Source organism: Homo sapiens, chromosome 1 (assembly GCF_000001405.40).
Source record: "Homo sapiens chromosome 1, GRCh38.p14 Primary Assembly".
In the NCBI taxonomy this organism is placed as follows: Eukaryota; Metazoa; Chordata; class Mammalia; order Primates; family Hominidae; genus Homo; species Homo sapiens.
The window spans coordinates 12,369,364-12,390,308 of NC_000001.11; the positions used below are offsets into that span (position 1 = coordinate 12,369,364).

The following is a 20,945-nucleotide window of genomic DNA, read 5'->3' on the forward strand; positions in this document are numbered from 1 at the left end:
ATTTAGGAAGGATTTGGAACTTAAACCTACAAAGCACTGACTCACTTTTCAGTAACCCCACTCTGAATGAAAGTCCTCTTTGTCCTCTCTGCCATCACTCTAGGTCCCGGTTGTCTTTACTCAGCATGGCGTAGCTGAACCCAGGCTCCGGACTGAAGTGAAGCCCATGACTTCATTGGATTATGCCTGGGACGAACCCACCTTGCCACCTTTTATCACTCTGACTGTTAAAGGGGCAGGGTCCTCTGAGATCAACTGCAACATGAATGATTTCCAGGATAATCGGCAGCTTTATTATGAAAATTTCATTTACATTGCTGCTACATATACATTCTCTGGGTAATTCTTGATTAAATTACTGTTCCTATAAAGCAGAAGGTTCTAATTATTAACAGGTTTTAAATGTTAAGCAGTTTCTTAGGAGACCAAAGTACAAAGGAAGATTCTTTCATTCTTTACCAAACCCTGGGCTCAGTGTCTATCTTAAGAGGTCATGTAATTTAAACTCTTGACTTTTGGCTAGATTAAAATTTATCCAAAGAGTCAAGACCCTTCTTGTGTTAAAGATCTCTCCCAAGAATTCATTCTAGTATTTAAATTTTCTTTTTGCTATTTATTAGTCTGTTTTGCCTGTTTCCTCTTTTGAAACTGACTAATCTTCATCATAATTATTCAAGTCATCATTCTGACTCTCCTCCCACCATCCCATTGAGAATACTGGTTAAGCAGACACCTAAGGGTCTGTCTTAATATTCACCTAAAGCCAAATATAGTAGCTTAATTTCACAGAAATTCCATTGCCTTAGAATTATAATCTTCACTGTTGTTTGACTAGTTGTATTTAGAAAAGTCAGATGAAGAATATTGAGCTTATTTTAATTCTGTTAGATTGCCACGCAGAGATTCAAAACACTGGGCTTTCAGAAAGTAGTCATTCTACCAACATATAAATATAGCTTATTGTTTCTGTGCTGAAATAACAGGGCCAATTTTAAAGTGTATCTGTGAAGAAATGGAAAATAGCTTAATCTTTAACATTACAAATATAAATCACCTGATGAATAGGGCGTTTAAAGTCACATTCCTTTCCAAAATGTTCGGAACATTTTTGCATATGAATAAGATTTTTATACATGCCTGGGGCCCAGAAAATAATCTCTGGGTTTTTGCATTATCTCTCTCATCTGCTTAGAGTCCAGATTTCACTAGTAATAATTGAATCTGCAGAGAAGGACCATTCTTTCTTTGTCTGTTGACGTTCCCTTTGGGAACGATGGTGCTAGGATGTTTATCTTGTTGTAATTGAGTCAATATGTTTGTTTGTTGTTAATTTGTTTTTAAAGATTATGGCACTTAACAGTGGGACATGCTTAAGGTTTAATGCCTGAAAAACCGAATCTAAATCTGGTTGTTAGTCATGTTTTTCTCCTTATGTTCTATAAATTCCAGTAGTTACTAAGCTCTTTAACTGAAGAATCCTAGTGGAGGATTATGGGCTTAATGGGTTGAACCTATATGGAAGACATAAAAAGAGAAGCTCCTGGAATCTTGGTGTGCAGAATCTAACAGCAGAATTAGAATAATCTTGCTGTGCTAAGAGGTTGAACCATCTTTTGGAGTATATCAGATACTAATTATTTGCATTCTTGGAAGGAATAAATGATGAGGAAGAATAGTTTTTTTTTAATTTTGTTTTTGAGGTGAAACATAACATAAAAGTATTTTAAAGTGAACAGTTCAGTGGCATTTGGTACATTCATAATGTTGTGCCACCACCACCTCTTCGTAGTTCAGAGCATTTTTATCACCCCGAAAAGAAACCAAAACCTATTGAGCAGTCACTCCCCATTCCTCCCTGTCTCCAGCCGCAGGAAACCACCCATCTGCTTTTGGTCTCTATGGGTTGACCTATTCTGGACATTCACAGAAATGGAATCATAGGAGTGATCTTTTTTGTCTGGATTCTTTCACTTAGCATAATGTATCTGCGGTTTATACACATTGTAGCATGTGGCAATGCTTCATTCTTTTTTTTTTTTTTTTTGAGACCGAGTTTTGCTCTTGTTTCCCAGGCTGGAGTGCAGTGGTGTGATCTTGGCTCACTGTAACCTCCACCTCCCGGGTTCAAGCGATTCTCCTGCCTCAGACTCCTGAGTAGCTGGGATTACAGGTGCATGCCACCACGCCTGGCTGATTTTTTTGTATTTTTAGTAGAGATGGGATTTCACCATGTTGGTCAGGCTGGTCTCGAACTCCTGACTTCAGGCGATCCACCCACCTCTGCCTCCCAAAGTGCTGGGATTACAGGCTTGAGCCACTGCTCCTGGCCCATTTTTTTTATGAAAAGTACCCAGTATTTTTTGTGGCTGAATACTATGCTGTATACTACATTTTTGTTTATCCAGTTATTTGTTGATGGACATTTGGTTGTTTCTGCGTTTTGGCTATTGTAAACAGTGTTGCTATGAACATGCCTGTACATATATTTGTTTGAGTACTTGTTTTCAATTCTTTTGCTTTATACAGAAGAGTGGAGTTGCTGGGTTCTATTATAATTCTAAGTTTAACTTTTTGAGGAACCGCCATACTGTTTTCCACAGTGGCTAAACGATTGTACATTCCTACCAACAGTGTAGAGAGGTTCCAATTTCTCCACATCCTCACCAACATGTGTTGGTTTTTGTTTTTGTTTTTATTTTTATTTCTATTTTTGAGACAAGGTCTCTGTCACCCAGGCTGGAGTGCAGTGGCACAATCTTGGCCTGCTGCATCCTCAACCTCCTAGGATCAAACGGTCCTCCTGCTTCAGCCTCTCTCATAGCTGGGACTACAGGTATGCAGCACCACGCCCAGCTAATTGAAAAAAAATTTTTTTTTGGTAGAGACAGGGTCTCACTATTTTGCCCAGGCTGGTCTCAAACTCTTGGGCCCAAATGCTATCTACCTGCCACAGCCTCCCAAAGTGCTGGGATTACAGGTGTGAGTCACTGTGCCAGGCCTGGTTTTGTTTTGTTTTGTTTTGTTTTAAATGATACCCATCCTACTGGGTATGATGTGGTATCTCATTGTGGCTTTTGATTTGCATCCTTAGTAACTAATGATGTTATGCGTCTTTTCATGTGCTTATTAGTCATTTGTGTATATTATTTGGAGAAAGTGTATTCAAATACTTTCCATATTTCAAATGGAATTATTTACCTTTTTATTGTTGAATTGTCAGAGTTCTTCATATCTGGTCTCTTACCAGATGTATGATTTGCAATTTTTTTCTCCCATTATTTTTGTGAGTTTTCTTTTTACTTTTAGATTGTGTCCTTTCAAGCACAGAAGTTTCTCATTTTGGTCACATATAATTTATCTGCTTTGGGGGGAACAAAGATTACTTGTGCTTTTGGTGTCATGAAGACTAGTTTTTAACGCTGAATTAATCCATTACCTTTTTTTTTTTTTTTTTTTGCTAATAAGGGTTAATAGAAAGAGGAGAATAATCTAAATAAAACTTCCAAACATCCCTAAGTGTAGCCAGGCTGCAACATTCCATAAAGCTTAGGATTCTTTAGCTTCAGAGAAACGTAACACGATTGAATTGGAGGAAGTTGATTGGAACCCTTTGTTTTCTTTTCATCCTAAAGGGACTTCTGATTTCTTGCCAAGACTTGGGGATGCAGTGATGCTGATCATCTGCCTGGCAGAGTAAAGCTAATTTTTGGTCCCTTGAATTGTCTGGCTTGGTTTTTTTTTTTTTTTTTTTTTTTTTTTGCTTTTTTTGGGGGTTGGGGCAGAATCTCATTCTGTCACCCAGGCTAGAGTGTAGTGGTGCAGTCTCAGCTCACTGCAACCTCTGCCTCTCAGGTTCAAGCAATTCTCATACCTCTGCCTCGTGAGTAACTGGGATTACAGGGGCCTGCCTCCATGCCCGGCTAATTTTTGTGTTTTTAATAGAGACGGGATTTTGCCGTGTTGGTCAGGCTGGTTTCGAACTCCTGGCTTCAGCAGATCCACCTGCCTTGGCCTCCCAAAGTGCTGGGATTACAGGCAGGAGCCACCGTGCCTGGCCAAATTTTTTGCCTTTTTTTTTGGTGGGGGGGCCTCTAAAGATATATGGTTATACTTTTGCATCTGAATTTTAAGTCACTAAAATTATGAAGAGAAGAAAAATGTCAGAGTATGTCTTCTGAGAGATGAATCTTGGAACTGTGTAGGGAAAAAAATGCAACCCTGATCTTTCTGCTCTTGCATCAGACTTTTTCTTCTATCCTTTAAAAAATTTTCTTTTTAATAAAAGTTTTGGGCATTTGCTTATTAATACTTGAATACATGTGTGAGTATGTGTGTGTATACCTGTATATATATTTTTATGTAATATATATATTTTTTAAATTCTAGCTTGCAGGAGGGAACAGGCAGGCCTGTGGCTTCCAACAAGGCCATTACCTGTGCGGAGCTCGTTTTGGATGTCTCACCCAAGACACAAAGAGTCATTTTAAAAAAGAAGGTAAGAGAGCTTACAATCAGAGTTTAGAATACAAGGTTTTTAGCACTGGACGGGACTCAGGATCACCCAGTGCAGAGTCCTTATTTCATGATGAGGCCATAGGGACTTGTGTGGAACCCAGGCCTCTTGGCATTTCCAGGTCAGTGTTAGGGCGGATGAGTACCAGCTCAGGAGTAAGATGACTTCTGGAGTGGGATGTGATCACCAGGTGTGATCAGCAGAACGTGAATAATAAATATATGTGGAATTACTAAGGGCTGGGTGACTGTTAAGCAGACAAGAACAAATTTCTAAGATTAAGTAGCAATAATTGTAACATTTTATATAACATTTTATAACTTATAGAACATTTTCAGTTATTATTTCACTTGATAAGGATGACAGCTAGTAAATAGGTAATAAAAGAGTTACATTGACATTGAAAATTAGGTTAAAGTGTATGAACTGGCATGAAGAAATGGACCTCTCCTTTTTAGTTGGAAACCAAGTGTAGAAAGTTTGACATTTTAGGTTTTTGTTTGGTTTGTTTTTGTTTTTTTTACTTTTTATTTGGAAACAATCTCAGATTTCCAGAAAATTGGCAAGAATTTTACCAAAGTGGGGCTGTGATGTTGATTTGTCCCCTTACTGGTGACATTAACTTATTGCAGTTGATTAAGAAGGTGTGTGGTAGCCTTTTCCACTGAGAAGTGAGGCTACTCTTTTTCTTTTTATAATCAGTCAAGATTTTGTGGCGTGGTACGTTGAGACTACATAAACCTCCTATTTGTCATATTTTCTATATATGTATGCATATGTATATGTGTCATTCAGTATGGGCTGCTGTTTTATTCAGCGTGTTATCTGTTACTGTGTCAGTATGTGTATGCGTATGTATGTATGTATTTATTTATTTTTGAGATGGAGTCTTGCTCTGTTGCCTAGGCTGGAGTGCAATGGCATGATCTCAGCTCACTACAACCTCTGCCTCCTGGGTTCAAGTGATTCTCCTGCCTCAGCCTCCCGAGTAGCTGGGACTACAGGAGCCCACCACCACACCCAACTAATTCTTGTATTTTTAGTAGAGACGGGGTTTCGCCATGTTGGCCAGGCTGGTCTGGAACTCCTGACCTCAGGTAATCCGCCTGCCTTGGCCTCCGAAAGTGCTGGGATTACAGGCCTGAGCCACCATGCCCGGCCAGTATTTATTTTGATGCTCAGTTTTTCTTATCTTTGGCCAGTGGGAGCTCCTTTAACCTTCCGTGTGCTTTCAGCATGTGCCCTCACTCACTTCCTTACTTTCTGACACAGCAAGTTATCCTGGGTCAATCTTATATTTTTCCCTGCACCATTCCTGGAATTTGCCATTTCTCCAGGGAGCCCTCATCCCTTCTATCAGAGAATGGAATTTAGAAACCTGAGATTCATGAATTAGGTGCAGTTGTTGCTATTGTGGTGTTGTGGTTCCCAGGCTCTCTCAGAAGACAGACCTAGGGTTTTTTAATCTATGTATGCACAAATATACATATGTGTGTTTTATGTACATATTTATATACTGTACATATTTATTTCTATGTCTACATATCAAAATCTAGCAGTTCACACCAATATTTCCAATTCAAGTCCAGTATGACAAAGTTCATTCTAATTTTCTCCCTTTCCCTATTTGTACTTCCCTTGTCCAGCACTGAGAATATGTTTATTGATTTGATCAGTTCCCCTGAATGTAACAGTGTAACTCATCCTCCGTCACCACAGTTGTCCCATGTCCTGTATGAACACCCTGGTTTCTTCCCTTGGGCTCTGATCTCCATGTACTGGGCAGCCCTGCCCTCTTCCCACCCTGTCCTTCGCAGGAATGCCCTCCTCACCTCCCTCTGTGATGCTCCCATTAAACCCCTCCCCAACCTCCCAACTTGGCTTCAGCCCCTGCTCTGGGCTGCCCCATCGCTTAGGTGGATGCCTTTCTTGTTCCACATGCGCTTTAACAATTCCACACTGGGCCACCCCAACCCCCATCCCCACCACACACACAAGCCCCATGGAGTTCTGCCTTCCACAGTCCCATCTAAAGATTTTAGAACTAAATTATTAGGGAAGGGAGGAAGGGAACTGGAAGGAGAATGGTGCATCTCAGATTTTCAAGTGGAAATTTTGGTAGTTTCCAAATTATGATGAGCCTGGACAAATGGGCAGGCAGTAGAGGAATCCCAGTATGGAAACTTGATCTCACCTGGGTATGTCTGTGTTGATTCCCAGTCTGCAGCATCTACAGGATAACCGAGATGCTTTTCCTGTTGTTTCTGGTGCTGTGCAGAGATGCTTTCTGTTTCTGTGAACAGAGAAGCAAGCATGTGGGAATTGGAGATGGGAAGCACAGCTTAGCTTCATCTCTTTTTGCAGACAGAGGAGGCAGTAGCACACAGCAGAGACAGCATGATGTGTTTTTAGGTTTGAGTTCTGGCTTTGCCACTTAAAGATATATAGTATCTGGTATTTCCCATTTCTCTCAGTTTCATTTTTCAACTGACCTCCCAGGTTTGCTGGAAGGATTAGCTAAGATAATGTACATAAAGTGGTCTGTAAAGAGATGTAATGATAATAACACAACAAACATTTATTGAGGCTCTACCCTGTGCCAGGCATGTACTAATAAGCGTGTTACATTTATTACACTTATCACAAAAACCATGAGGCAATTTTTCTCGTTGACAGATCAGGAAACGGAGGCTCTAAGAGATTAAGTAACTTGTCCAAGGTCATTCAGCTTGTAAATTGTGTAGCTGGATCTCAGATCCTGGCATTTTGACTCCAATGTTCATGCTACTTTGTTAGTTTTTACCTTGTAGAATGTGATAAAAAGCTATCTGTCCGGCCAGGGGTAGCATGTAAATGAGTTTGTGGTACCCTGATGTGTCTGATGCTCTGGAGGAGTTCCTGCCTAGTGGGAGTGTATGTGATCCTGGCAGATCTAGCTGGAGTGTAGGTGTGACTGAAAAGGAATGATACAGATTGTGCTAGAGAGGCAACATAGCAGAGCAGTTAAGCGTGCTGACTCTGGAATCAGGCTGCAGAGATTCACATGTTGGACCTACCATCTAACTAGTTATTTCACTGTGGGGAAGTTACTTCATCTCACCGAGCCTTAACTTCCTCATCTATGAGGAGGGACATATGTCACTGGATTGTTTGCAGCAGTAAATGAGTTTTTTTCTTTTTTTCTTTCTTTTTTTTTTTTTGAGACGGAGTTTCGCTCTTGTTCCCCAGGCTAGAGTGCAATGGCGCAATCTTGGCTCACTGCAACCTCTGCCTCCTGGTTTCAAGTGATTCTCCTGCCTCAGTTTCCCGAGTAGCTGGGATTACAGGCATGCGCCACCACGCCCAGCTAATTTTTGTATTTTTAGTAGAGACGGGGTTTCACCATGTTGGCCAGGCTGGTCTTGAACTCCTGACCTCAGGTGATACACCTGCCTCGGCCTCCCAAAGTGCTTGGATTACAGGCATGAGCCACCACGCCCGGCCTAAATGAGTTGTTTTATGTAAGTCTTATGGACCAATGTCTAGCGCATAGTAAGTTCTCAGTAAGTATTATGACTTCTAGTATATAATGGATTATATAGACTTTCATGATTGACCTGGAAGCCCAACTGCTGTTTCCAAAATATTTCTAAAGAGAAAATATATTTAGAACTAGCAATCTGGCCAGGCACGGTAGCTCATGCCTTTAATCCCAGCACTTTGGGAGGCCGAGGCAGACAGATCACCTGAGGGCAGGAGTTTGAGACCAGCCTGGCCAACATGGCGAAACCCTGTCTCTACTAAAAATACAAAAATCAGCCAGGCGTGATGGTGCATGCCTGTAATCCCAGCTACTCGGGAGGCTGAGGCAGGAGAATTCGCCTGAACCCAGGAGGAGAGATTGTAGTGAGCCGAGATCGCACTATTTCACTCCAGCCTGGAGAACAGGAGCGAAACTCCATCCCAAAAAAAAAAAAAAAAAAAAAGAATTACTAGCAATCAATTAGCATAACCTTGAATACAACCAACTTAACACTTGTGATACAATCAATTCATGAAAATTGGACACCATCAATATAGTACGCTTTCCTTATAAACATTCGGGACGGGGAGGAAGACCTCTGGTAAATTCTGATTCAAAGTCAGATATTGAGCATATCGTATAGTCTTTATGTAATTGCACTCTTCTTTAAGGTAAGGGCACCGGACGGTCATCATCTGGAATGGCAGTGATCATGGCAGTATAGCTAGTGTAGGAGGCTGCCCCGCCATTTGTTTCTAATTTCTAAAAAAGGAAAAAAACTCGGTTATGAAAATAATACGTTTGTTAAAATGCACATTATTTGTAATGTTTGGTTGTTTGGTTCAAGAGGTTAGCATATTTTACCCTAAGAACAACAAAAGATAGATAACCATGAAAGTTTGAATTAAGCATTTATATAATGTGGAAAACGTCTAAATAAACTTCCTATATGAGAACTTATTTAGCCCTAGAGGAAGCTCTTGAAGTGAGGAGCTAGCTGTGGCTGCCCATAATGGCTCTTTCTCTTTTTGCTTGTACCTACTTAACAGGAACCAGGAAAGCGTTCTCAGCTGTGGAGGATGACAGGAACAGGAATGCTGGCCCATGAGGGCTCCTCAGTTCCTCACAATCCCAATAAGCCCTCAGCCGCCCGCTCCACCGAGGGGTCTGCCATCTTAGATATTGCTGGTCTCGCTGCAGTGACTGACAACAGGTAATTTTCTAGGCAACTTTTGATTCAAGCTCATTGCTTTCAAATTCAGACTCAGAGGAAATCTACAACAAAAACTAAGAGTTCTATAAATAAAGTAAAAATGTATATTTTTTTCAATGACAAAAACCTGTCATATTCCCAAATATGAGTATTGGGCTTTCCCTTTAAATATTTTAAGCTTTGATGAAATACCCATGCAGATGTTAAGAAACTTCAAACAATAAAATGGGTATAATGTGAAAAGTGATTATTTCTTCCACCCAAATTCCAGTCCGTCCTTATTCTGAGGAAGTAGTTTCTTTTTTACATCTTCCTAATAACTTTGTCAAATCCTTCAAAAGCAGAAATTAATTATTAAGAGAATAATCAGATGTATTTTTATGAATAAATCCTTGGATTCAAATTAGCTCTTTAAGTTTGAATAAGTTACTTGATTTGCCTGTGCCTTAGTTTCTCCATAAAAATCAGTGTGTTTTCAGTTAATACCTTATTTCCAGAAAAACTTTAGTTGACTTACAAGTTAGAACAGAAAAGAATTTAGAAATACAACAGAAAAAAGACTGTTGGAAAGATTTTACATGTATTTAGCAGCTATTCCTTCCATACTGCATGGTAAGTTGCCGTTTTGAGAATGCAAGAAGCCATATTACTGTGTGTTATGAAATCTTTAATGTCTTACTTTGTGTCCCCTCTTCATGTTTTTCCATTTTGCTTTATTCCTCTTTTCTTATCAAGAGATACCTAACTGCCCTAGGATTCAAGCTAACTACCCATTCAGTTTTAAGGGTGGAGGGCATTAGAAGGAAGAAGAGCAAAGCCATCATCCTCATGTTCCCTTCAGGCGTGAAACAGTTGACTCGGAGGTTTCATGGTTCATTGTGTATTCCGTTTTCCAGATACGAGCCACTGATGCTGAGAAAGCCTGACCGCAGGCGAAGCACAACTCAGACGTGGAGTTTCCGAGAAGGAAAACTGACCTGTGGGTTACATGGGTTGGTCGTCCAGGTCAGTCGTTTTTGATCCCCAATTGCAGCAAGCAGTGGTTGAGCCTTCTTTGAAACAAAGTCTCTACTAAGTTATACATGATGAATTGTTCAGTGGGAAAACTAGTTACAGAGCAATACTTATTCTATTCCATTTTAGTTAAAAGGAAGTCAGAGTTTTGTTGTGCATTTGTGTATTTTTTTTTTTTTTTGAGGTGGAGTCTTGCTCTGTCGCTCAGGCTGGAGTGCAGTGGCACAATCTCGGCTCACTGCAAGCTCCGCCTCCCGGGTTCACGCCATTCTCCTTCCTCAGCCTCCCGAGTAGCTGGGACTACAGGTGCCCGCCACCACGCCCGGCTAATTTTTTGTATTTTTTAGTAGAGATGGAGTTTCACCATGTTAGCCAGGATGGTCTCGATCTCCTAACCTCGTTATCCACCCGCCTTGGCCTCCCAAAGTGCTGGGATTACAGGCGTGAGCCACCGCGCCCAGCCCCGCATTTGTGTATGTTTACATGGGAAAAGTTCTTGGAGATGGTATGCAATACATGTGTTAAGAGTGATTGCCCTGGATGATAAGATATGTTTTTCATGGCTTACCTGGACTTTTTCTTTGATGTCATATATTACCAATGTAATTTTAAAAAGAAAAAAATTACCTATGTAATTTTAAAAAGAAAAAAATTACCTATGTAATTTTAAAAGTCCAGCACTAAGTTAGATGAATTAGATTTAGACCTGGGAAGTTAATGGCATAGCTGCAAGTCCTCTGTAAAGGGTTCTATGACATGGTGAGCATTCGCCAGGCATCTACATGCTCTTGATTCTGTTCATTTTGGCCTAAATAAGCATTGAATTGCTGTAGCAAATGTCAGAATGAAGATTGCTGGACAGTTTCCTCCTCAGCCAGTCTACCTCATGATAAACTCCCAGCTACTTTCTAAGCAAATATGTGTTTGGCAAATTACCAAGGGTTTGGATTTTCTGCCCTTTCTGGCTTCAGGCTGGGAATGAGAACAGGGGTCTGAGAAGTAGGAAGGTGTCTAGGAGGTTTGGACATGCAGTAGACTAGCACCTGCAATTGTGTGTGCAGTTCTGTCCAGCCTGGGATTTTACACAAAAGGGAAACAGGAGACTATCAGACTCTTGATAGAGAACTCTGAGTGTACTTAGATTGTACTCCAGGGCAGTTTGCAAAAACTGTAAGGAGCCTCTGACTGCTTTTGGTGAGATTTATTTTCTTTATCTCTATCGCCCTGAGCTTTTTTCATCAAAGACAAGCTGCTTACTTATATGTAGCACACATCTGGAATGGATTTGTGATTTTCAATTAGCAATACAATTCAAACTTCTAGAGGCAAAGAGGGCTTGTTATAATTGGTGGGTTTCATGTCTGACCCTGACTTCACTTCTAGTTTGTTTCTAAAGCCCATGTAATTCCAATGCTCTTGGAGCATTTTCTTCCTTAAAATCTTTTTTTGGTGTTTGTTGTTTTGTGAATCTATTTCATCATTTCCCTGCTTGTTAGTGACAGTATAATAACAGTATTCAGCAGAGCAGAATGTGTTTTGGTTAGGGAAGTAAGCTTGTTTCAATCTTATTATGCTGAATAAAGTCATTGAAGACATTAAAACATTTTCTGACACTGCTCTTATTAGGTTGTATATGCTCTTTCTTTCTAAACTTATAATAGCTATAAAAAGCTTTCTTTGTGTTGAAACCTGTACTATAAACCCTGCTCAAAGTTTGCTTTTCATGAGTCAATATTTAAAAGTTAACAAAGGGGATTTAGACACTCTTTGCCATTGTCTTCTCTAGCCTTGTGTTTGCTTTCCCACAGCCATAATCCTGTAGACTCGATTTACTTGGGGCATGTAGCAAGGTGTTTTCCTCCAAAGGCCTTGTTAAAGCAAACTAAATATGGCCTGAGAAGGACTCCGTACTTCTATAATTGAATCCCTGTGGACCAACTGTAACCTAGAGTAATCGGCAGGCAAGATTGAAATCCTTACTTAGGAGTATGTGCCTGTAACAATAGCTGAGACTTGGCCAGTCACAGCAGCCATACTTCCACCACTCACAGATGGCTGAGTGTTCAGACTGTGTTCAAATAAGGCAGACGCCAACCTGTAACCAATCCAGCTGTTTACTTCCAACTTCTGTACATCACTTCCCTTTCTTTGTCTATAAATTTGTTCTGACCACGAGGCATCCCTGGAGTCTCTCTGAATCTGCTGTGATTCTGGAGGCTGCCTGATTTGTGAATTGTTCATTGCTCAATTAAACCCCTTTAAATTTAATTCGGCTGAAGTCAGTCAGTCTGTCTTTTTTTCTTTTTCTTTCTTTTCTTTTCTTTCTTTCTTTCTTTCTTTCTTTCTTTCTTTCTTTCTTTCTTTCTTTCTTTCTTTCTCTCTCTCTCTCTCCTTCCTTCCTTTCTTCCTTCCTTCCTTCCTTTCTTTCTCTTTCTTTCTTTCTTTCTTCCCTTTCTTCTCTCTCTTTCTTTCTTTTTCTTTCTTTCTTTTTCCTTTTCCTCTTTTCTTTTCTTTTGACAAAGTGTCGCTCTTGTTGCCCGGGCTGGAGTACAATAGCACAATCTCAGTTCACTGCAACCTCCGCCTCCCGGGCTCAAGCGATTCTCCTGCCTCAGCCTCCTGAGTAGCTGGGATTACAGTTGCCTGCAACCATGCCTGGCTAATTTTTGTATTTTTAGTAGAGATAGGGTTTCACCATGTTGACCAGGCTGGTCTCAAACTCCTGACCTCAGATGATTCGCCCGCCTTGGCCTCCCGAAGTGCTGGGATTACAGGCTGAGCCACCTCGCCTGGCTTGAAGTTTTTCTTTTAACAGCCTGAATAACTGGGTATCAGGTGACATTCTCAACTCTGTATTCCATTCTAGAAGAAACACCATCTTTTGAGTATTTGGATTGGTTGTCCAGCCATAGGCCTGTTTGGGGAGGTTTTCAACTCAAGAATTTTCCTCTTACTGGAAAGCTGAATGATTATAATAATTATTTTCTATTTTCAGAATATTTCAGATTTTTAAGCAAACCCTAGTAAGAATACTCAAAGAAACAGCTAGTTTTGGCTACTTTTTTAGAAGTTTATTTTAATGACAAGAAGTTAGTACTAGTAAAAGGCAGAATTAAACTGATCTATGCATGAAATTATCTCTTATTCATAATTACCAAAATTTATGAGCATAACTTTTCATCTTACTGAAGTAATTCTCCTGTTTTTCATCATCTGCAAAGCTGAACAAATAGTAAAGGCTTTGTTGCACATTGATCATGACCCTCCAGAGGAGAATGTAAATTTAGGAACTTGTTTGAAATGATGTGTTAACTTGTCAAAGTCAGTGCCTCTGTCTTTTCTCACATGTCTCTACTCCAATGTCTTTTAGGCCAAAGGAGGACTTTCTGGTTTGTTTGATGGAGCTGAAGTTGTTCTTGGTCCTGACACTTCCATGGAGCTTTTGGGGCCAGTTCCACCTGAACAACAATTTATTAATCAAAAAATGAGACCTGGTTCTGGAATGTTATCCATCAGAGTCATCCCAGATGGACCAACTAGAGCACTCCAGGTGATAATTTGTCATAAGAGCTGATGTGAAACTCTGTACTTCCTCCACCCCCAATGATTACTCATTTAACAAATACTTATTGAACATGTTTATGCCAGATATGAAGATATGGTATCTTCATCTGTAAAATGGGGATAGGATCTACCTCACAAAGTTGTTACAAGAACTAAAGTACAACAAAAAGATAAGCGTAAAGTATAAACAAAGTATCAATGAAATATGTGGTAACCTAAAAAAGTATAAGATTTAAACAAGATAATGTTAACAGTGCATATTAATAGTGTTGTTAATTATTATTAATAACATAATATCTTAATAACATTAACAACAAGAAGATATGAGATCCTTAATCAGATAATTAAAATATTGTGTTAATGAGAGTAGGAGTGGAGGGTGTATGGAAAGGATTTGTATTCCCAGATTTAGAGGGTGGGGAGCTTCCTAAGAGAAGTAGTACTTAAACTGAGACCTAGAGTTTAACTGAAAGGAATTAGCCAAATAGAAAGGTACAGGTGGAGGGGCTGTGCCCTCAGTAATAAGCATGTTCATCAACAGGTATTTACTGAGCAGCTACTTGAGCCAGCACAGGTCTAGGTACGGAACATTTACCAGTGAACGGACAAAACTCCCTGCCTTCTTGGAGCTTACATTCTAGTGGGGATGGACCATCATTGACCAATAAACATAGGAAGTAAATGACATACGATGTGGAAGTTGACTAGTGAAGGCCCACAGGTAGCAGAGTGATCCTCAGCCCAAGTGGCACACAGAATGTGGTAAGAAAGAAGGCTGGAGATAGAAGCAGGGGCCAGATCATAAAAAGTCTGAGATACATACTAAAGAATTTGTGGTTTTTCTAAGGCAACAAGGAGTCAGGGAATGGCATGATTAGAAAATTGTTTTAGATCACTTCCTCTGGCTGCAATGTAGAGAAGCAGAGTGGGGCAAGACTGGAGATAGTGAAATACCAGGTAGGAGGCTCTTGCACTAATGTAAATGAAGGGTTATGGTGGCCTGAACTGGAAGAAGTGGCAGGGGTGGACATGAGGAGGCTGGAGAGAAATGGATAGAAATGAGAGCTTACTTAGGAGTAGAGTCAGGCAGATTTTGTGACTGAATGTGGGAATGAGGGAGAGGAAGGAGTCAGTAATGGCCTCCAAGGTTCTGATTTGGGCAACTCACAGGATGATAATCCAGATCACTAAGGGATGAACATGGAGCAGACTTGCAGAGGAAGGGAGGAGTTAGGTTTTGGACTTGTTGAGTTAAGGTAACTGTGTGATATCTATGTGAAGATGTCCATAAGTCATTGTAACTATGGCTCTGAAACCCAGGGGAGAGATCTGTGATGGGGATAAGGGTTTATTAGGTCATAGCGTAATCAGAACAAAGGAAAAAAAAGATGTTGGAATGTAGCAATGAGCTCTCTGAGATAGTGCATCACAATTCACAACACCACTTTTTATTTATTTATTTATTTATTTAGCTATGTCACTCTCTTTCACCTAGGCTGGAGGGAAGTGGCAAAATCATAGCTCATTATAGCCTCGAACTCCTGGGCTCAGGTGATCCTCCCACCTCAGCCTCCCGAATAGCTGGAACTTAAGTGCATGCCACCATGCTTAGCTAATTACTTTTCATTTTTTGTGGAGATAGGGTCTCGCTATGTTCCCCAGGCTGGTCTTGAACTTCTGGGATCAAGCGATCTTCCCACCTTAGCCTCGCAAGTAGCTTGGACTACAGGTGTGTGCCACTGTGCCGGCTCACAATACCACTTTAAAAAACAATCTTAAGGCAAAAATGAATGCAGTGATCTTGAGGTTTGCATATTTTGACTTGAGCTATAATTTGAGATCATCTGCAGATATCTAACCCCACTACGTGAGGCTCTCAAGGTGTATAGCTTGAGTTTGCCATGCAGACTTGAAACCAAGTTTGCTTCTTTATTACACAAATCTTACCTTACCAGTGCTTTGGAAACCATTCGCTTCCATAGGATTATTGATTATATAATGACTTTTGACCTACACAGTTGTTCTGGGTTAGAATAGGTTTCAATAAGGAAGAGTGAATCATCTTCTTGTGGTGTTTTATTTGACTTCAGATAACAGATTTCTGCCACCGGAAAAGCAGCCGTTCATATGAAGTGGATGAACTTCCTGTCACCGAACAAGAGCTGCAGAAATTAAAGAATCCAGATACAGAGCAGGAATTGGAAGTAAGGTCTAAATATTGTGAATTTATTTATTTGATCATCAGTTTTTTAGAATTTTACTTGGTGGTATTTTAGACCTTCTGTTTTCTTTCTATCCTGTATGATTCTAAATATGAGTTACGCTTCACAGTGTTTACTGTTTATCAGTGAATGTGTGAATGTATTATGTAAATGACAACAAAGTTTATGTGGAATCAGCATGTAGTAAGCATTGCTAAACTATTATTACAATAAAGGAAGCTAAATTGTTTGAATTTCAGTAAGATTTAAGACAAACAATTTTTTGTTTTTTGCTTCAGCCATCTCTGACATCTTCCTTCTGTTTTCTCTGTTTGGGATTGGAGAGTGACAAGTTTGAAAAGGAAGATGAGATGAACATGAAAAAGTATATTTATCTGACGTTTATTCAGTGATTTTTGAAAAAATCAAATGCCTATGTGTAAAACACTGTGTTGGGTGCTATGGAAGTGTAGTGGATAACAGATTATGAGCTTTCATCCCAAATAAGGTGAAAGATTACCAAATAATTAGATTTCTATAATGAAATGCAGAATGTCATCAGTCCTTTGATAGAGGTATCATCACATACTCTGGAGTTCTCGTTGGGGTGAAGGGTATGCCTAGAAAGCAAGGCTTCCAGTGAGATGATAGCATTTGAGCCCTCCAGGTAAATAATAGGACTCCCCTAAGTGGTTTTCATCTGCTGAGAGATCGGGAGTAGAGGAATGTAAAATGCTTTATTTTCTTATACTCTCCTGGATACTGTGAGCTGTGTTTAAAACAATCAGGGTGCCATATTTTGGTTTCCTTTCAGGTGCTTGTGAGGTTAGAAGGTGGAATTGGGTTGTCCTTAATTAATAAAGTCCCAGAAGAACTGGTCTTTGCAAGTCTTACAGGAATCAATGTGCACTATACACAGCTGGCAACCAGTCACATGCTTGAACTCAGCATACAGGATGTACAGGTAAGGGGGAAGTTCCAAAGCTGTTAGTCACCTTGTTTTCATGCTGATCACCCAACCAGATCTAATGTTTGATGTTCTAAGAACTTTAATGTTTTGGAGGAAATATCTTGTGGCCTTCAAAAAATCATTCTGTGAAATAGTTGTTTCTACCTACATTCGTCTCATTAATTTTTCTACATACAGCAGAATTCTGCATATATTAGAGGTAACTCAGTCAGGGTGTCATGGAGGAAGGTGACCCATGGTTCACCATCTTGCCAATAGAAAAACCAATAGGAAGTCATCTAACCATCATTCGGAGGGATTGAGGTCTGTCATAGGGAGAACAAACTAAAGAACTGGACTTTGCTTTCAGTCAAGATGGAGTAACAGGGACTAAATTTACCCTCCCACCTGAAACAACCCCAGAATCCAGATAAATAAGAAGACAATGGTATTGAGACACTGGACATCAGACAATGAAGGACAGTGCTTTGACAGGTGGGAAACAAACGAGCTGAGCCCTGTAATTGCCTTTCTTACCAATTTGAGAACGTTTCCAGGGAGGGGAGACCAAGCAAGTACCCAGCACAGTGGAGAAGTTGAGAAAACAGAGCTGAGAGTCTAGAGAGACCAAGGTATCTATAGTTATAGGATGGTACACTTGGGCATAGAGAGCTGCACAGAAAAACTCTGAAGATCTATAGACCGTCCCTCTTGAGTATTTAGCCAAGTATTAGTCAGTGATGTATGTGAGGAAACTACCCATCTGAAAGGATCAGAGGGAACAGTGCCTGCTGCCCACACAGGGCTAGGAATAGTGCTTGTGCCCACCAGCTGGACTGGAAAAACTAAGAATTTATGAGACGTTGGGAAGAGTCTCAGGAAAGCCTTGCCCTCATGATTAATTAGCCCTAAACTGAGCACTGCTATAGACTGCCTAAGAAATCATAAAAGGAAGATCCGAAAGAATCAACCTCTTCCCAAGTAAATTAACCATATCCTTGAATAAAGCTCAAGAAGATTATTGGAATATGACAATTTAGCACCCAACAAGGTAAAATTCACAATATCTGACATCCTATCAAAAATTACCAGGTGTGCAAAGGAGTAGGAAAACTTTCTATATAATGAGGAGACTAATTGGTCAAAACTGATTCACAACTGGCACAGATGTTAGAATTTTTGGAGGACGTTAAAACTGTTAATGTAACTGTATTCTCTGTGTTCAAAAGGTTAAGTAGGGAGACTAATTGGTCAAAACTGATTCACAACTGGCACAGATGTTAGAATTTTTGGAGGACGTTAAAACTGTTAATGTAACTGTATTCTCTGTGTTCAAAAGGTTAAGTAGCAATATGGAAGACATAAAAAAACTAAAGCTTGTAGAGATTAAAATGTAATGAAAACTACACTGGATGGAATATAGCACACAACTGTGAAGGAAACTATACCAAGGCACATCATAATCAAATTACTCAAAACCAGTGTTAAAGCAAAGGAACAAGAAAAAAAAGACATGCTATGTGCCAAGGAATAAAGATAAGAATGACAACAGATTTCTTTTTGGGAACAATGAGAGTGGGAAGACAATGAGCAACATCTTTAAAGTACTGAAAGGTATCAGCAGACCCATGCTACAAAAAATGTAAAAGAACATCATCAGGCAGAAGGAAAAAAATAGTATCAGATTGAAGTCTGTTCTACACAAAGTAATGAATACCAGAAATGATAACTACCTGGGTAAATATATAAGATTATTTTCTTCTTATTTAAAGTAAGAGTGAGATTCTTATCAACAATAGCATAAAGGCTGAAGGGGAGAAATGGAAGTCTATTAGTGTAATCTTATACATGATGTGGTATGATGTCACTTGAATGTAGAATTATAAAGATAAACAGCATAAACTCTTAAAGCAACCACCAAAATAACAAAGAGTTATAACTAATAATTCAGCAAAGGAGATAAAATGAAATTAGGCCAGGTGAGGTGGCTCACGCCTGTAATCCCAGCACTTTGGGAAGCTAAGGCAGGTGGATCACTTGAGGTCAGGAGTTCGGGACCAGCCTGGCCAACGTGGTGAAACCCCATCTCTACTAAAAATACAAAATTAGCCAGGTGTGGTGGCACACACCTGTAATCCCAGTTACTCGGGAGGCTGAGACAGGAGAATTGCTGGAACCTAGGAGGTGGAGGTTGCATTGAGCCAAGATTGTGCCACTGCACTCCAGCATGGTGACAGATGGAGACTCTTGTCTCAGGGGGAAAAAAAAAAAAAAGAAATCATAAAAAAATAATCCAAGAGAAGGCAGAAAACAGAAAGCAGGGAAAGGAATAGATAGGACAAATAAAAAATAATTAGCAAGATGGTAGACTCAAACCTAATGGTATCAATTAACTAAATTTAAATGTTGTAAACACCGTAATCAAAAGGCAGAGATTATCAAATTGTATAAAAAAGCAAGAACCAATTATATGTTGCCTACAAGAAACACACATTAAGGATAAAGACACAAATAGGTTAAAAGGAAAGAAGATGAAAAAAGATATAACATGTTGACCCTTGTCATAGGAAATGAGAATGACTAGATTAACATCAGACGGAATAGATTTCAAAGTAAAGAATATTACTGGTGTAGTCGGGGTTCTCTTAGAGGGACAGAACTAAAAGGATATGTATATAAGTATTAACTTACATGATCACAAGTTCCCACAATAGGCTGTCTGCAAGCTGAGGAGCAAGGAGAACCAGTCCGAGTCCCAAAACTGAAGAACTTGGAGTCCAATGTTCAAGGGCAGAAAGCATCCAGCATGGGAGAAAGATGTAGGCTGGGAGGGTAGGCCTGTCTCACATGTTTCTGCCTGCTTTATATTTGCTGGCAGCTGATTAGATTGCACCCACCAGATTAAGGGTGGATCTGCCTTTCCCAGCCCACTGACTCAAATGTTAATCTTTTTTGGCAGCACCCTCACAGACACACCCAGGATCAATACTTTGTATCCTTCAATCCAATCAAGTTGACACTCAGTATTAACCATCACAAGTCCACCCTTTGTCAACTGCCGAGATTATAAGGTCATAATTACACCTAACATAATACAGCCATCCTTCGTACAGCTGGAAACACACCAGTCCCCAACCCAAATACTATTACATAAAGTTAATGATGCTTGAATGCTGATATGAAGTCAATAAATCTATGTCACATAATGAAGGAGAAAGGAAATAAAATGAAGATATTTTCTTAGTACAAGTGTATACATGCACAAACATGTTTTTAACAAAAGAAAGAGGAAATACTCATGACAATTGCAGTCCTTGTTTCTGCAGCTGGTCATGTGGTCATAGCTAGTATTGATGATTACCCTTTCTACTACCCATTCTGTATTCCCTTTACCTTCAGCAAGCACCTCATCAGGTCATGGTTTTGTGGGATTTTTTCCTGGTGGAGTGACCCAAACCTTCCTTCCTGAGGGGTCTGGACCATTTGTAGTCCTGCCTGGATTGGGCTGTTGTAGTTTCCCATTGCCTTAATCACAGGGCATGGTAATCCTAAGAGATGCCCTAATGGATCTCCTGTATTCCATGCATAATCTTCCTTACCTCCATTGTGGAGTAGTAGACTGATTTCATCTTGATAATCTGGGTCAGTCACCCCAGCCAACACTGTAACTCCCTTCTTAGCCTCTTGACCTAAAGTTAGGCGGAGCCCAAAGTGTCCAGGTGGTAATCTTAACTTCCAGTTTAATGGAATCATTGTTTTGTCTCCTGGTGGCAGTGTTCCTCCCTCTGGAACTAAGACCTCTAAGCCAGGAGAACTAATGTTGCAGGAACAGAAAGCAAAAATTTTGCTAGTGGATCATTAGGGGTGATGATGAATGGTGCCACTTCCTCTTCCACCCATTGATTCCTGGACCTCTGAATCCTGGCCATGGGAGAAACAGTACCATATATTGGATGCTGATTCAGAGCATACATAGCCTTCTGGAGAAC

General features: G+C 40.0%; 1 protein-coding gene across 2 annotated transcripts in view; it reads left to right on the top strand.

The window, feature by feature from the left end:
* Positions 1-20,945, top strand: part of VPS13D (vacuolar protein sorting 13 homolog D) — a 282,018-nt gene that overhangs the window by 139,334 nt on the left and 121,739 nt on the right. For both annotated transcript variants that reach the window (NM_015378.4, NM_018156.4), the window contains 7 exons: positions 104-339; positions 4,387-4,495; positions 9,065-9,228; positions 10,125-10,233; positions 13,613-13,792; positions 15,897-16,010; positions 16,822-16,971. In NM_015378.4, the coding sequence (NP_056193.2) occupies positions 104-339; positions 4,387-4,495; positions 9,065-9,228; positions 10,125-10,233; positions 13,613-13,792; positions 15,897-16,010; positions 16,822-16,971 (1,062 nt within the window). The remainder of the gene's footprint in view (positions 1-103; positions 340-4,386; positions 4,496-9,064; positions 9,229-10,124; positions 10,234-13,612; positions 13,793-15,896; positions 16,011-16,821; positions 16,972-20,945) is intronic.